The 18,230-nt window shown below is 36.1% G+C and overlaps 1 protein-coding gene and 1 long non-coding RNA gene across 5 annotated transcripts in view; both read right to left on the reverse strand.

Moving 5' to 3' along the window:
* Nucleotides 1-18,230, reverse strand: part of LOC105370481 (uncharacterized) — a 64,726-nt gene that overhangs the window by 43,281 nt on the left and 3,215 nt on the right. For all 4 annotated transcript variants that reach the window (XR_001750753.1, XR_001750754.1, XR_001750755.1 and 1 more), the window contains exons 2-3: nt 17,094-17,160; nt 16,290-16,358 (exon numbers count right to left, since the gene is read on the reverse strand). This is a non-coding gene — a long non-coding RNA (uncharacterized LOC105370481). The remainder of the gene's footprint in view (nt 1-16,289; nt 16,359-17,093; nt 17,161-18,230) is intronic.
* Nucleotides 12,106-12,877, reverse strand: RPL10L (ribosomal protein L10 like). The gene has a single exon (NM_080746.3). It carries the CDS (start codon nt 12,830-12,832, stop codon nt 12,188-12,190), a length of 645 nt encoding a protein of 214 aa, NP_542784.1. The 5' UTR covers nt 12,833-12,877; the 3' UTR covers nt 12,106-12,187.

The raw sequence follows: 18,230 nt of genomic DNA on the forward strand, positions 1-18,230 counted from the left end.
AATCCTGTGGCTAAATCCAATTCTTACGACTTTTATCCTAATAGTTATTGAGATTTTTTTCTTGCACTGGTATTACCAACCTCGTTGGGACTGGAATTTCCATGTTTCCATACCAGCTTGTAAAGATGCCCAGAGACTTCTTGAAATTGCACCAATTGTAATGACAGCTTTGCCAATTGTTACCTGTGTCCATATTTTTGTTAGAATGTTCTACCTTTCAGATGAAATTGGAACTTCATTCCAGGGATTCCATTTCCAGGTTCAATTCTGTCTGAGTCTGCCACATCCCACTAAAATTATTTAATATTCAGATTAACCTAATAAGTGGAACATATTTTATCTAATAGTACATCTGTATTAAGAAAGTATACTATTTACCTTTCACACAGCTACTCCATATTTACATGAATAATGGATTAATTTGTGGTTGGTAATAATGAGCCTTACTGCATTACTCAGACTACTTTTTGTTGTAAGACTCTTTAGGGGCATTATTATAATTTGCAAAGAGTAAGCTTAACTAGGAATTCTATACATAATTTCTAATTCCTTCTTATATATTAACATCTGATCAATATAGTAATTATTATTCTCAAAGTTCAAAATATTATGCTTATTTAAATATAATACATTTTTTGATAAACAGTTGATATTTAAAAGGTTTCATTCCAGAAGTGATTTTTCCTTTCTTCCACCCTTAGTTGATTGGCCTGTGATTAGACTGGATTGAATATGAAACTTCCAAATTTGCTAGAGTACTGAGTTACTGACCATCTCAAATATATGTGTATGTAAAAAATGTATACACACATATGTGTATGTATGTGTGTGTGTATGTGTGAGTGGGGGAAGAGAGAGAGAAAAAAATGCACAAATCAGAATCTAGCATGAAGACTTTGCAATTATGTGAGAATTTGATACATTGGTAGGGTTAAGTCCAAATGACAGACAATGCCTAGGTCAACATTCTTTATGATCTTACAGTTGCAGTCCAATGTTTTTTAAATCAGTTTAATTTATACAGCCCATTCTTTCATTTTATAAATCTCTTAAGATACATGAAGACAAATTGAAATGCTTTCTCTAACTTAATCATAGCTTTTCATGGTTCATTAAATCTAATATAATATATATCAATATCCTGCTGTAGCTTATAAGTTGGAAATAATGAATTATCTTGGTATTTTTATACTGCTATAAAAATAAGTATGTTATAATATGATTTTTCATAACACACAAATAATCACTTGTGGAATTAAAATTATCATTAAATGCCTTAAAAATATATTAACATATACTTTAAATGAGATACCATCTCACACCAGTTAGAATGACAATCATTAAAAAGTCAGGAAATGACAGATGCTGAAGAGTATGTGGAGAAATAGGAATGCTTTCACACTGTTGGTGGGAGTGTAAAGTAATTCAACCATTGTGAAAGACAGTGTCGTGATTCCTCAAGGATCTAGAACCAGAAATACCATTTGACCCAGCAAACCCATTATTGAGTATACACCCAAAGGATTATTAATCATTCTACTATAAAGACACATGTACACATATGTTTATTGCAGTAATATTCACAATAGCAAAGACTTGGAACCAACCCAAATGCCCATCAATGTTAGACTGGGTACAGAAAATGTGGCACATATACACCATGGAATACTATGCAGCCATAAAAAAGGATGAGTTCATCCTTGCAGGGACATGGATGAAGCTGGAAACCATCATTCTCAGCAAACTAATACAGGAACAGAAAAGCAACCACCACATGTTCTCACTCATAAGTGGGAGGTGACCAATGAGAACAGATGGACACAGGGAGGGGAATATCACACACTGGGGCCTGTCAGGGGGTGGGGGACTAGGGGAGGGATAGCACTAGGAGAAATACCTGATGTAGATGATGGGTTGATGGGTGCAGCGAACCACCATGGCACAAGTATACCTATGTAACAAACCTGGATATTCTGCACATGTATCCCAGAACAAAGTATAACAACAAAAAAGTTAAAATATGGCAGAATTATGTAAGCTACAATAGTTATTTCATATAAATTTTTTGTGTCTTCAGTTCAAAATCAGAATTAATATGCCAGGCAATACTGGATATGATGGCTATTACATACCTTTCATACTTATATTCAAATACTTCATCATTATTGGATTTACTGAGAAAAGAATACATACAATGTATACTTTAAACATGAATTTTAAAGATAACATCAAGAGATTTGGAGATTCTGCAATCAAAATGTGTGCCACTTCAATTTCATAACCAGAGTAATGATATAAATTAGTTTAATACATAGTGAATTCTTTTTAAGTTCTAATATTTAATAAGAAAGGACAATAATAATATGCAACATTATTCAGAGTGTACTATGTCCCAGAAGCTGTGCTAAGTGCATATTCTCATAAATACCATTATAATGTTTTACAGTTGAGAAGTTTATGAAGCTGAGGCCCTGAAAGGTTCAATAAACTGCTCAAGATGAAATGAGAAGTAGTGAGCAGAATGAGGATCTAAACAGACGTCTGTATATTCCAATACATTTGCTCTTTTCAATAGCTACATTGAACCAAGTTTTGATCTTTTCCTGATTTTAATGATCATAATGGCCATAGCAGTTACAGTTTGCTCAAGGAAGAAGTATTAAGTGTAATATAGAATAAGAGATTTATTATGTGTGTTAGGCCTTGCATAATAATGAGAAAGGCTGGGAAAATAACAGTACTGAAGGAGACAGTGTGATCAGATAAAAGTCACCTAAGTTACTAATATAGTTTGTATCTGTGTCCTTGCCCAAATCTCATGTTGAATTGTAATCCCCAATGTTGGAGGTGGGGCTTGGGAGGAGGTAATTAGATCATGGGGGCAGATTTTCCCCTTCGTACTGTGTTGCCATAGTGAGTGAGTACTCATGAGATCTGGTTGTTTAAAAATATGTAGTACCTGACACCTCTCTCTCGGTCCTATTCCTGTGATGAATACGACCTGCTCCCACTTCGCCTTCCACCATGATTGTGAGTTTCCTGAGGCCTCCCCAGAAGCAGATGTTGCTATGCTTCCTGTACAGGCTGCAGAACTGCAAGTCAATTGAACCTCTTTTCTTCATAAATTGCCCAATCTCAGGTATTTCGTTATAGCAGTGTGAGAAGAGACTAATACAGTCACCAAGCAGGGACAATGAAATTTCCTGAATGTGATTGCCTCTTTTCTGGTGGTGAGCACGAAATTGCTACAAGCAAGTAAGGCAGGCAATTGGGAGAAAAAAATGCAAAGTAAAGGTAAGTATAGATAAACAGCATCTCACAGGACAAATGGAACTCACAAGGATAAATTGAAACCCATGACGACAATCTAAAATCCAGGTCAATGCCTCTAACTCCAATAATGTCTGTGAATAGAAGTCTGTGCCACTCGGCACAAAGATGCACTTATGCCTGGCCTGGGTCTCAGAGAGGTGAACGGCAAGATGTAGCAAGGGCTGGAGGAAATGACATTGCTGGCATCCTTCAATTAAGTGAGCTAACAAATCAACCACAACATTTCTGAATCACAAAGATGCCTGGGGCCCTGCACCGATTTTATAATTGTTGCTTCATTTCTGCCTTCCAAATTTCATGTCAATTTCTATTGTGATTAAACACCCTATGGAGAAGAGAATTCTGGAGAACATATTTCCAGCTTATGCAAGATAAGGCAATAAAAATCCACCACTTTGCACAAAGTATTTTGGGTCTAAATTTTTGAAGTAGACAATAAAATTAGAAAGACTATACTATGTATGAATCTGTGTACATTAATATGATTCCAGGTTGTAGATATCATGGTATTTTTCAAGAAACAGAGATGAAATTAAAATACATCACAAAACTTCCACTTAGCAGTACGGAAGACTAAGTACTGTAAGTGATCCTCCCATCTAGATATAACTAGATTCTGCCTACAGTCTTACCTTTTAATACATTTCTAGGTTCACTAGAAAATAAATAAACCTTCAAGGACTTAAACCAGAAGCAAACAAACGAGTGGGAACTGGAGCAGAGGGCTGAGAATGGTTAATACATGTAAGGTGGTGGATTTATCAGGGACACACAATTACAAAACCTGAGGGCATAGCAAAGTCAGAAAGCTCAACCTGAGAACCACACATTTTTTTTATCTCTCATGACAAGAGAAATTGGTTTCAGGATGGTAGCATCCTAGGGAACAGGCTGAATCAACTACAAATTTTCTCTGGTGGAAAAAAATGTAAGAATTAAAGAAAGAGGAAAGAAACATGAGCAAAAAGTACCCAACACAGATCTTGGTATACAAGAGGATAAGTTAAGCAAAGTATAGGCCCACAAAAACAAAACAACACAAACTACTATGAAATAGGAATAAAAATATAAACAACAAATAATAAATTTACATCTCTCAAGACCTCCATAATAAATTAATTATAAAATATCAAGTAATATATTTTTAACTTTATAAATTTACTTTAGTAAAGTTTTTGAAGGCAACTGACAATGGTAATTTCACAAGCTGACTTTCAAATTTAGAATCATTGGAAGGGAAAAGTTCCAAGAATTGTCCAGACATACTGATGAATAAAGACCTGGAAGGACTTACTTTAAAAGATAAAAAGTTATTATACAGTACCCTCCATAGACTATCCCTGTTCCTCCCCTGCCATGTTATGCCCCACCCATGCAACCACTATCCTAAATTTTCATAGTTAGCATTACCTTTAAAAACTAGATCTATCATATATTTATTTACACATAACACAGTATTACCTCTGGTTTTGCTGCATTTTGAGCTTTACAAAAATGGCATAATATTATTTAGAGTCCTATTTTCTTTTTTCATTCAATATTTTCTGAGAATTATCCATGTTTTAGCTGTAGATGTCATTCATTTATTCTCACTGTGTATAGTAGCTCCCATTGTGAATATACCACAATAGATATATTCATTGTCCTCTTTATGTAAATTAAGGATAAAAAGTGTTTGCTACTATGAACAATGCTACGAAAGCTCTTTGCATATATCTTCTGGTTCATGTAATTGAAAGCTTTTCTATAATAGTTATCTATAGTGTTATTACTGGATCTTAGGACAGAGGCTTTTTCAAATCAGTTATGTTATAAAATATTTTCTCAAGTTCAAGGGTCCATGGACTTCAAATTCAGTAGTTCTATCAATAAATCCTAATGGTATTTGCTACAAATATGTCATGAACTGTACTTATGAATAAAACTTTTAAAAATCTCAATCTTGCTTTTAGATACTGTGGTTTTGACCTTGTAGACTATTATATTTGGACAACTTAAAATTATCATTTGAAAAATGTATATACACAACTATGAAAATGGCATTTTTATTAATGGCATTTTATTAATGGCATTTTTGGCAGTTTTGTTTCAAAAATGGATGGCTTACAATTGCAGAGTATTGGCATCAATTGAAGCAGTCCATTGTATGTATAAATCAAATACCTATTAAGTAGATGGAAGATAAGACTGATAGGCATTATTTATGAGAAATTTAAGAGATCTATAGATAGGTAGTAAGTAGGCAGGTAGGTAGGTAGCTGAGAGATAAAATTTGACTACGGCCACATGAACATGCGTTTCAGTGACGATAATTTAAAGTTTGCTTATATTCAAGGCAATTTATACAAGTGAGAGAGGTAGAGGGACCACAGTTAAAAGTGTATTTAGGAAGCGGTATAGAAGTTTTCTGTGTGTTGAATGAGGTTTTACTTTTGTCTGGTGAAATTTCAATGGTTTCATGCTGTTTTAGTAATTTGGACATTTGCCAGCACGCTTAGTGGAAATTTTTCATCAAAATGGTTATGTAACTGGTTTGACAGGAGAAATACTGAAGTGTACATTACACGAAATTTTTATTTTTCAGGAACAACCAACTGTGCTCCATTGAAGTTCTATTACTTTGTAAGTAGCACATTTCCTTAATGATATCTAAGCCTCTTTCCATAACTTTTCAATCACTGCCAATTATGAAAATTGTTACTTATCCTTTTAAAATCTCTCATCTGTTCCATTAGTGTAGCATAGACTAGTAGTTCCAGCTACTTAGATCAGGAAAGAGGAAATTATGCTCTCTTATTCCTCTCTTTTTCTCCCCCATCCCTTGATTTAGATTATTGATAACAGAATGTAAACATAGACAATATTCTCGTTGTTAAATGACTTCAAGTCACGACAGACATGTTCTCTTTCAGCTGTTACTGGTTCTCTTTATACTACTCTTGGTTCTCCATATATTTGGTGGCCAAGTGCTGGTGACCATTAAAAAGTCAGGAAACAACAGATGCTGAAGAGGATGTGGAGAAATAGGAATGCTTTCACACTGTTGATGGGAGTGTAAATTAGTTCAACCATTGTGAAAGACAGTGTGGCGATTCCTCAAGGATCTAGAACCAGAAATATCATTTAACCCAGCAATCCCATTACTGAGTATATACCCAAAGGATTATAAATCATTCTACTATAAAGACACATGCCTTTGGTTCTCCATATATTTGGTGGCCAAGTGCTGAGTCTTTTATAGGGTCTATTTGTCAGTTTTGTAGAGGATACTGGAGTTTCTCTCCCTATTCAATTCTCTCAAAGGAAATCTAGCTGAGGCACAGTGGCTCTTTTCTTGCTGCCTGCAGCTGCAACAATAGAGTAAGTCCCCCATACAGCCTCTTGCTGCCATATTTCCCCCTCCCAATAAACAATGCTTTTGAAGAATAGGGCAAAGAACATACAATATTGCTTATATTTAAAACACCATAATGGCCCCACACTCACAGGAAATGTAAGTCTTATCCTTATTATATCAGAGACTGAACATAAGGGCTGTTTCCTGACAATCTCTACATCAGTTCCGCCATCTCTTCTGTCTCCACCATCACCATTAAGTCTCAGTTTAGTGACGTAACATTTGGGCAAAAGAAAACACCATTTCCTGTCATTGCAATGTCCTGTCCCTCTCTGAAAGCAGATGGAACAGTTACTCCTTTGAGAAGACTCCATTTGCCCAACACATTCTGTCCTCTTCCTCAACCTCATATATTTCTATTTATCAGTGACCAGTAAACTTAGGACAAAAGGAAATTTCATGAATAGGACCCTTGAAGTGTCTAATAATATGGTCCTCAAAATACATTTTCTACTGTACATATGGTCTTGTTCTTTAAATATGTGAAGCACAAAAATATCTCTTAATCAGTAACTCTCGTCTATTTAATTTATATAAATATATAAAACTAATTAATTAGCTTATTATTTACAACATAATGAGAGTTGTTAAGATTCTGTATGGACACAAACACAAAATTGATCTTTTTGGAATTGATATTTAAAGTTTACCATTTTGATACTCAAAGTATTTTAGGTATAATTATTTGAGAGCCATAACGATAAAAAATAACTGGAAGTTGTTACATACATGGAAAGTAAGTTTTTATATGAGTTGTCTGAAATATTAAAGTCTCCAAAAGTAGATAATTATTTAGTCCGACATTAAAAAAAAATTCTGGGTAAATAACCTGAGGAAAAACATGATCAGATTATTTCTGTCCCCAATACCTAATGAAATGAATAAAATGTGATAAAATAAATATAGCCAAAGGCAGACAAGGAAAGGGTTATATATGTCATAAATTTAGGAGGAGATATAAAAATGAAGGCAGTAGTCTCATGTGGTAAGTCAGAACCAGATTTTGCTTTTTTAAATTAAAGATTTCTGGCTAAATACATGTAGTGTAATTCCATATTTTGAGAGATTGCAGGAAATCATGAGTTATATAAAAATCATTTATAGAATATACCTTTTCAGAACTTTCCAACTTCTTAGAATAAAAAATTTCTGAAAAGAAACATGAACTTAAAAAAAATATGTTTCAATAATGCCTTAATATGTAGAGAAACATACTTAACATAGACTTACACAAGGAAAATTTGTAGAAAAATCCATTGACAAGTGGAGCCCACACCAACACCAAAGAAGCACAGCAATAGGGCTTGCCATTTTCCAGGGTTGTGCACTGAATCATAGCAGGCCAAAGGTGAATATGCCACAGCTGGAGAGTGGACTGTGTACCTGGCTGACTGGAGTGTGCTTTGGTGTAGGATATCTAATGGATCTCAGAAGAAGTGGAATCTAGCCAGCATCAAAGGGTATACTTAAACCTTCAAGTTCTTTCTTTTTCCCACCCTCTCATCCCAAGGCCATGGAAAAGTAACACCCAGAGAGAAGTCTAGATGAACAGAAAAAAGTCAAAAGTTTTGTGAAAGAGTGACAAGAGAAATGCATCCACAACCTTTCCGAGTAAATAGAATGTCTGAGCAGAACAGTCTACATCACATATAAGCCATATAAAAATAATGACATGATAGCCATATAATCATCTTTGGAAAATAAAAATGAGAAGAAAGAAAAATAATATTGAATTTAACAAGTGGTTAAAGTAGATAAAAAATCCAGTTGGGGGACAGGAAAGTAAGCTAATCCCCACAAGGGAGTCATATGTAGAGGATAATCAGTAAAGCATAAATTTTTTCAAAAGAATTCCACAAAGAGATGACAAAATACAATGACATGAAACTGGGAATTACAAAACTAAAGATTAAAAAAAAACTTGAAACAGAATATTGAATCCAATTAAATCTAGAACCAAGAGTATATAACTGGAAGCAATAATGATTGCAAAACAGAATATTAAGGTTATAAATCAAGAAAAAATAGTAATACAAGCACCAAAAATTAGGAGATGAGGAGTGAAGCAAGAGCAAATGTAATAATAATAACATCAATATTAACTGAATATCAATGTTGTATAATGAATATGTGCAAATTACAATACTGTTCAATTTCTCTACCGGGTACAGTGGCTCACACCTATAATCCTAGCACTTTGGGAGGCTGAGCTGGGCAGACTGCTTGAGCCCAGGAGCTTGAGATCAGCCTGGGCATCATGAAAAAATCCCATTTCTACAAAAAATACAAAAACATTATCTGAGCATGGTGTTGCATGCCTGCAGTCCCAGCTACTTGGGATGCTGAGATGGGAGGATCACCTAAGCCTGGGAAGGTTGAAGCTACAGTAAGCCATGATCACACCACTGCACTCTAGCCTGGGTGAAAGAGTAAGACCCTGTCTCAAAAAAATAAATAATTATCATAATAATAAAAATCAATTTCTCAATGCATTATCTCATTTAATCCCCAAAACAATCCTATAACTAAAGTGTCTTCACCTCACTTTATAGAAGGCAAAATTACTAAGAATGGCGATACTTAGTAATTTGCCCAAGAAAGTAAAAAGGCTGAGATTCAAATCCAATCATCCTGACACCAGCTTTTCTTATCTATTGTTAAGTGACAATTACCTCATTTTGAATTATTATTGCAGGTATAATTTAATTATTTTGACTTTACTATTTTTTACCTAATTTGCTGTTAAAAAAGAATACATAGGTATTTTTATGAAAATGAAGTCATTACACTAAAATACAAACAAAAACAAAAGGGCATTAATATAAAGCCAGGAAGATGAACGAGGTGAAATGATGTCTTAGCTCAATCCTTAGATTAATAGTAACATTATGAGAACCAGAAAGCTCTACTTAAATTATGTAACGGTAGGCAGTACAAGGCTGCTAAAGCAGAAGTAAAATGCTTGCCAGTATTAGTGACAGCCAATTCATGGAAGAGCTAATGTACATTTTTTAAAAATTAAAGATTTTCGGCCGGGCGCGGTGGCTCACGCCTGTAATCCCAGCACTTTGGGAGGCCGAGGCGGGCGGATCACAAGGTCAGGAGATCAAGACCATCCTGGCTAATATGGTGAAACCCCGTCTCTACTAAAAATACAAAAAAAAAATTAGCCGGGCGTGGTGGCGGGCGCCTGTAGTCCCAGCTACTCGGGAGGCTGAGGCAGGAGAATGGCGTGAACCCAGGAAGCGGAGCTTGCAGTGAGCGGAGATCGCGCCACTGCCCTCCAGGCTGGGTGACAGAGCAAGACTCCGTCTCAAAAAAAAAAAAAAAAAAAAAAAATTAAAGATTTTCAAGCAAAATATGCTTAATACAGTTGCATATTTTGAGGGAGTAGAAATGATGGATTATATAATAATCATTTATGAAATGTGCTTTTCGAAACTAAATTGATACACTACATAGTCCTACTGAAGTTTTCTTCATCTTATTCAGTCAGTATTTTCCATTAAAACCTATATATTTCATCAATTAAATAAAAAAGTTTCATTGGGCAGTATTTGCTGGAATTTCATTAACTACACTTGTATTCTTTTATTTAAAACGAGCAAACAGTTCATTTTATTGCAGCAGTAGATGAACAGAAATATGTTCCCAAATGCAATTTTCTATTTTGAGCAGAAATTTTAAAATAACGAACTCTGCAAAATTATAATTAAATGATCCTTCAGCCCAATTGTCTTACTATTTTTTTTTTAAATAATTAGAATGACCCTAAAATAAGAAAATGCTGAAAAAACAAAATAATGACTTGGGGAAAATTAGTAGGAAGGATTTTTAACAAAAACAAGTAAAAGTGCTTGTATGTCAACGTTTAAAAAAAGAATTTATATATAATCTTTATAACGTGAAACTGTGGGAAAATTCAAATAAAAAATTTATTGACAGCTACCTACCAGTTTTTAATGCATTAATTCTTAATCATTCATTTCCTCTTCACTCCCATATCTATATGCATAAACAATTACTGTTACCAATCTCTTAGGGCAAGGAAGTTCATGAGCTTATACTTAACCTCTCTCCCTATATATTTAGTTGAGTGCAGAGTTCCAAGTTTGAAGGTCAAGATGTTTTGAGAGGTTTAAGACCAAAGAGAAAGGGAAATAATGAAGATGGAAAATATTTTCAAAGCTGGGCCATGGTTGTACTAGAAGCTAAGGGGTTGCTGATTTTATTGTGTTTTGTATTGCCTTTCTCTTTTGATTATTATTATTATTTAGAGGTTGAATTTTCGTTTTTGAAAGTGTGGTAAAACGCAAACATGAAAAACGTCTTAAAATAGCAACATAGCTTAAATATATACAAATAGGAAATATCTTATAGCAAGGGCCTAAAATAAATATCCAGCCAGATACAATATGTTAAGACTGACATAGCATTTCTTTAAATAAATGAAAATTAAATAGTAGTGTTTCTTACTATTTCTTTTGTTGTTTTCATTAAATGTGTTGACTTTGAAAAAGAACCGTTAGTCTAAAAACACTGAAGGCACTGTTAGCAGGATTGAGATTCAAAAGGCTAAGTCAATTGTAAAGAACAAGAATTTTTTTTAATGCAGTACAAACTCAGGAATTTTAGCTTATGTAGTTTCAAAAATAAAACAAAAAGCACCTGTGTCATCAACGTAACTCTAATTCAGGGCAAGCACCTACAATTGCAAACTCTCTTTAGGGTCCTTTTATAGCACAGATAACCGATTTAGTGTCATTTTCTCTCTTCTTTTGGTTCTACTGGAGCCCAGATACAAGTAATATGAACTCTGTTGTCACCTATGACCTTTCTATGATGAAAAAAAGATTAGACTGTTATCTCTTGACTGTGAGACAATGTAAAGTTCGTCTGGAAAAGCCTTTCAGAGTGATACTCAATTGTCCTAAGGCTGATAATCAGACGTGTAAGGTAATTCTAAAAACAATGTACAGAAATTTATAGAAAAACATAAGGCAACCAAGTTTAGAAATAAATTACTTCCAAAGAGGCTGTGGGTGAAATATCACTAATGCCTACTATTATTTTCATCGCTACTGTTTAGTTTATATTCTATAAACAAATTTTTTCACTCAAATCTATTTTTTATTCAAGGAATGATAGCTGCATAACTTATGACTTTACTACAAACAAAACTTTCAACATATTGCTCTATACTCTCCTAAATTTAAAGTGTTTGCTTAAAACAGCTTTCTCTATAAATTGTATAGTTTTACTGAAGCAAGGAAGGTAACATTTGCCATTAAAACTGAATAAATAGAAAAAAATTCTCTAGTAGTCTATATTCTAAAACATTGGATATTTAAAAAATATTAAAACTTAATAAGGAGTTATTTTTTGCCAGTAAACAGAATTTATTAGTAAGCATAAGTCAGACCAGCATGGCCCAAGGAGACAGTACTGCCAAAACCTTCATGAGTGCAGAACCCGCCACTTGTCCAAGGGGCCATGACTGGGAACGTACTTGACTCCACAACCATCAGGGATGAGGCACTTCTTGGCCACCATGTCTTCAAATTCGTCAGCATTAAACTTCGTGAAGCCCCACTTCTTGGAGATATGAATCTTCTGGCGTCCAGGGAACTTGAACTTGGCCCTGCGCAAGGCTTCAATCACATGCTCCTCGTTCTGAAGCTTGGTGCGGATGGACATGATGACTTGACCAATGTGGACCCGGGCTACAGTACCCTGGGGTTTTCCAAAGGCACCTCGCATACCTGTCTGGAGCCTGTCAGCCCCAGCACAGGACAACATCTTGTTGATGCGGATGACATGGAAGGGATGGAGCCGCACTCGCATGTGAAAGCCATCTCTGCCACAACTTTTCACCATGTATTTGTTGGCACAAATACGGGCGGCCTCCAGGGCTTCAGAAGACAGCTGCTCATATTCATCAGACACCATGTGGCCACCGAGTGGGAACTCATCCACTTTTGCCTTCTTTCTACCCAGGTCAAAGATGCGGATCTTGGCATCAGGAACCCCTCGGCAGAAACGAGATTTTGGGTACGGCTTGTTCTTACAATACCGGTAACAGCGAGCTGGACGGCGCCCCATGGCGACACAGTAACGTCGGCGGTGCCTCGAAGTCAAAATGCGCTCTCTTAACTACGCCTGCGCGCATTTATATACGTTGCCCCTCGTCCCTCGCGGGAACCATAGAGTCCTGAGGCCGGAACCATAGAGTCCTGAGGAGGATGTGACGACTCTCTTTCAGGACGTCCCAACCAGAGACGCAGGGACGTCTGGCGCCTCAGCGCCTGCGCCAAGTGGCGCGCTTAAGGTGAGCAGAGTCAGCTGTGGGTAGACTCCCCCTGGCGGCCAGGGAAGGAATTGGGCCCCGCCCCAACTGCACAGCTGCTGCTTCCTTTCTGCTAGCCATCTTGGGCTAGGAACTCTTGCTTTCAGCTTTGCTTTAAGTATAAAAGAGGTTATTTCCAGGCAGGAGAATCTCTTGAGCTCAGGAGTTCGAGGCCAGCCTGGGCAATATAGTGAAATGCTGTCTCTACAAAAAAAAAAATATATATATATCAAATAGCTGGGCATGGTGGCACATGCTTGTAGTCCCAGCTACTCAGGAGGCTGAGGTGGGAGGATCGCCTGGGCCCTGCAGGCAGAAACTGCAGTGAGCTGAGATAGCACCACTGCACTCCAGCTTGAGTGACAGAGGGAGACCCTGTCTAAAGAAAAAGAAAAAAAGAAATCCTAGAATTTGAGAGGAAAAATCCTTCCAGTTATTCAACATGCTGTTTCCAGTTTGGTCAGTTCATTTTCCAGAGCTTGTATCTCACTGTCAGCATTTGTAGATCAATTGCTGTTTCTTGGGTTATGTGGCCACCTTCCCTGGATAAAGTGGTTTCTTGGCATGAGTGCTTTGATGAGACTCAGGAAGAGATGAGAGGAAGAGAAGAGAGAGGGATAAAGAGAAGATATCTGTTGTATCTGTAGCTTGGCAATTGTTTTATAAACATGAAACTTTGTTTTTTCTTTATTTGGCCTAAAGAAATGATTTTATTATCAAAATGATATATACAAAATTGAAACACCAACTAGATTTTTTTTAACTTAAGGCTATTTGCATTTTCAAATGTTAAAGCTGCTGAAACTATATAAAAGAGTAACAGTTTGTGTTTTAGTAATCTTTTGCCCCTGAGAATAAATTTAAACTTTTTTTCTTCTCAGAGTTTGTAAAAATATTATGACAGGGATCAGAGTGTAGGAAAGGAGGAAGAAGAGAGAGGAAAAGAAATTAATAGTTTACAAACCCTACTTGCATTTTTCTAGTTTTCTTTTTTGTTTTAATGTTGTTTCACAAATCCATTACATCATGGAACAAAATCCCCCCAATGTGAATATATTCTGTCAATACTCTTTGTTTTAAGGGAGAAAAATAACTCCTGCCCTTAAAGTGAGTGGATTTTTACAAAATACTAAAGATAAAACAATTAAATCTCCCAATGTAGAAAACTTTCTGACCTTTAAGAAAGCTTTCTCACTTCCCTTTTCTTCCTTCATTTCTTCTTTCCCCTTTTTCTCAACTAGTTCCTGTTTAACATATTGAGATAAAGTAGCTAATACCATGTTGCTCTCACCAAGCTTACAAGCCTAGGAGAGGATATAGATACTTCTCATATATCATCATATTACCAAGTGTAAAATGTGCCAAAAAGGAAAAGCAAAGTAAGCCCTGAGACTGTGGGATGAGGCTGGGGATGAGACCTTGATCCAGACTGAGGAATAGACAGGAAAATCTTTATCAGAAAAGAAATTTCATGTAGTGACCATGGCACATGGGGTCTGATGTATAAAAGGCCTGAAGCAGGCAGAAATATGGAACATTTTAAGGAACTTAAAGTCAGGCCAATGTGACTGTGAGTGAGAAAATGAGTCACATAACATGAGCCCAGAGTGTGTGTATGTGTGAGAGAGAAGGGGTCATGCTTTCATACAGGGCCCATTTTACCAAGTTAGGGATCCTGATCTTTAATGTGAGGCCATTAAAGAGCTTTACTTAGGTTTCATCACTCTGGTTATGGTATGGTGAATAGACTGAAACCAGCCCAAAAAAGGTATGCAAGGAGATCAGAAAGGAAGACTTCGCAATACTGCAGAAAACACACTATAACTTGAACATACTTTAAAATATTTGACTTTATATACAAGTTAGTATCTTTTTTATACTACTACATGCTCTGAATCTATGATCGCGCCTCAGGGAGAGGTGTTTGTGAGGCAAAAGGAAGACGCCCAGAGTTTATGTGCCACGACACACTCACTTCCACTTGTCTGATCTCCCACCTGTCTAATGTTGCCAAAATGCTAGAATTATCTGACCAGCAGATGCTGTTTTGCTGTGGGGGCCTGTCTACATAAGTTTCTTTCTTTAATCCAAAGCTTGAGCAATCCTGGTTTGTCCGGGTCTGTACCAGTTTTAACATTCAAGTCCTAGGTCCTGCAAAACCCCTTAATACCACGCGAAGTGGGAGGGTTGGCCACCCTACTCCACTCATGCATGAGGCCCTTCACAGTTGCAGATTAGGAGGGAGGAAAGAGGAAAGGGAGGTCCACACTGGGATCCTCTGTTTATACTTCTTTTCCTAACCTTGCAGATATAAGAGGAGATCCTGTGGAAAAATGCATGAAGCACCACCATTCTGTTGAAATATTACAAGCATTCCTCTTAATCAATTCCAACATTTTGAGAGTTTCCCTACCTCTCTACTCTTGCCATCCACAGTGTACATCATGCTAAGCAAACCTTGCAAAAATATATAAAACTTGTCTGCTTTGAGATATATAGCTAAGGGAGACACTAATATCATGTATAATAGAGATGGCTTAAAGAATGGGTAGAACATTCACAAGTAGAAATATGGGATATGGTAGAAATGAAGCAACACAACTTCATAAAACCATTAAGAGATATGAGAACAGAAATATCTCTACCTGGTTCACTGTTTTGTCCCCTGTTTTTGGCACATTGTGTGACGAGTAGCACAAGGAATACACACACTTCGGAGGCGCGGTGCGGTGTTAATAAACATTTAACAACCTGCTCTTAGTGGAGGTCAGGATTTTGAGGAGAAATCCCTGATTTGTAGTGTTTGCTGATTGATTTGGTAGAAATACTTTTCCCGTCATCAGTTTCAAACATCAGTGTGATTTACTGAGCACAAAGATGGGGAGAGATGTGCACTATCAGCTTCTGTAAGCTAGTGTTAGCCAGCTCCAGCATGCTGCCATTTGGTGTGCATACACAAGACAGAAAAGACAAACTTGTCTTTTGTTAATGCTAATAATGCATATCCTATAATAATACATTTTGGAATGATCAGGGAGAGATCTTTTTTAGGAGCCCTTAGAAAGCAGACAGGTACGAATACTTAAACTTGATTCAGCTTTGACTGTGAAACAGTTTCCCTCTGTGGTTTCTCCCTCCGGTTTCACAACCCTTAAGAGGCCTGCGGTATTCTTTACTTATTGATTGTAAGTACTTTACTTATTGATTACTTACTTGTAATTAGCACTAGACAGTGTGAGAAATACAATCAAATTCCAGATATCCTCTGTCTTCACGCAAAGGCTGGAAAAGAACAGTTCTGTGTATTAGTTCAACACAGCATTTACTTTCCTTTTTTGATATAATCTTTCAAATGTTTCACAATGAGCTAAACCTGACTTTGTTTTCAAAGGGGAACATGCACTGGAGTCTAATGAGTTGAGTGGCACACACCATGGATGCCCTCTCCTGCTACAGGAAGCATCTGCATTGTTGATCATTCAGTCATTATGTAGAGTACCATCATTGGGTGCTTTACAATATACTGCGATTCATAAATCATGTTCCACTTGGACTCTGAATGAAGTGTGAAGGCTCCACTGATGACTAACAGTCATTTTCATCTGGATTTCTTAGTAACTTCACACTGGGGGCTGTAATCTGAATGTATTTGAGAATAGGTGAGCAATTTGACTGTCTATATACAGTATTCCTAGAGTTGAATCATGAATATAAAAGAGCCATGGTTATGGCTGGCCTTTTCTTCAAAGCCAGTGGATTGTGCCTATTGTCATGGCTAAAGAGTGGTCATGCTGCCTGTCTCTCATGCACTTGATTCACAGTGGTCTCTTATCTATTGACAAGAAAACATGTAGAAATGCACATTTTTTGAACAGAAATATATTCAGATAATTTTAACTCTTTAGCCCAGCGCCCTAATACATTTTCCTTTTTGACTGGTGTTTTCTACATTCTTCTTCTTCTTTCTTTGGGAAGCTTTTTTTACTTTGGATATAGGAACTGAGCATGTACACTTACCTTTGTAGTTTGCTTGTAGAGAATGAGTTCCCCCCAAATGAATGACTTTTGACATTGTTCCAGAAAGCTGGAAAAAAGTAGGAAAGTATTAAATCAGGGAGAGGTGGCACAAAAATATGCTTGCTAAAATTTCATTGATTTTTTTTCCATATACATTTTAAATTTACTTGTTTAGGTTTCATACTTGTACAAAATGTATAAGCCATTAATTAGTTTTGTGTGGTAAGTAATTGAAATGTAGTTTTATAATTATAAATATTTAAGCAATGCTATAAAAAAGATATGATACATAATAAACAATTTGAATCAGCATAAGACTCTACATCAGTTTTTGAAAGCCCTTTTCTCTAAAAAAGGATTAGTTCAATCTGCAAATTTGAGAAACACTGATCTGGGTTAGGGTGCTGTGTATGAAGTTTGCCTCCCACATATTGAATGCATAGATTTCCTGTGCTTTAGATCTAAATTCCTGTCTATTCATTTAAAAGGCATAATGATGGGAGCAATGTTGTTACTTCCTTTGCCCAGTTTACTTAACAGTAGTTTGTGTGGTTTACAAGGTTTACAGAAATGCATGAAGCACATATTTAGCTAAATATATAGATTATTTAATCATTTATATCACAACAGCCAACTCTATTTCAGGTTAAATTCATCTTGTACTTTTAATGGATGACTCCTTTATCCATTAAACAGATTTTTTTTTTAATTTCGAAAGTGAGCAATCAACTTTAGTAATTACATTATGGGTTATTTATTTATGAAACTACTAATTCCAGTTGATAAAGCACTTTGGAAAGCTTTTTAAAAAGCTTTGCTTCACTTATTGTTATAGACTGAATGTTTGTGTGCTCCCAAAATTCATATGTTGAAATTCTAACCCCCAAGGTGATGGTATTAGGAGGTGGGGCTTTGGGAGATAACTAGGTCATAAAGGTGAAACTCTTATAAGTAGGTGAATACCATTATAAAAAGAGACCCCGGAGAATACTCTGGCCCTCTTTTTACTACATGAAAATATAATGTGAAGTTGGCAGTCTGCAACTGGAAGAGGATCCTCACCAGAACCCAACCTATACCACTTTGATCTACTACTTCCAGCCTCCAGAATTATGAGAAATAAATTTCTGTTGTTTA

This window comes from Homo sapiens, chromosome 14 (genome assembly GCF_000001405.40).
Source record: "Homo sapiens chromosome 14, GRCh38.p14 Primary Assembly".
In the NCBI taxonomy this organism is placed as follows: domain Eukaryota; kingdom Metazoa; phylum Chordata; class Mammalia; order Primates; family Hominidae; genus Homo; species Homo sapiens.

Bases quoted from the DNA above. Each gene is read 5' to 3' on its own strand.
- RPL10L (NM_080746.3), bottom strand. From the start codon at position 12,832: ATGGGGCGCCGTCCAGCTCGCTGTTACCGGTATTGTAAGAACAAGCCG.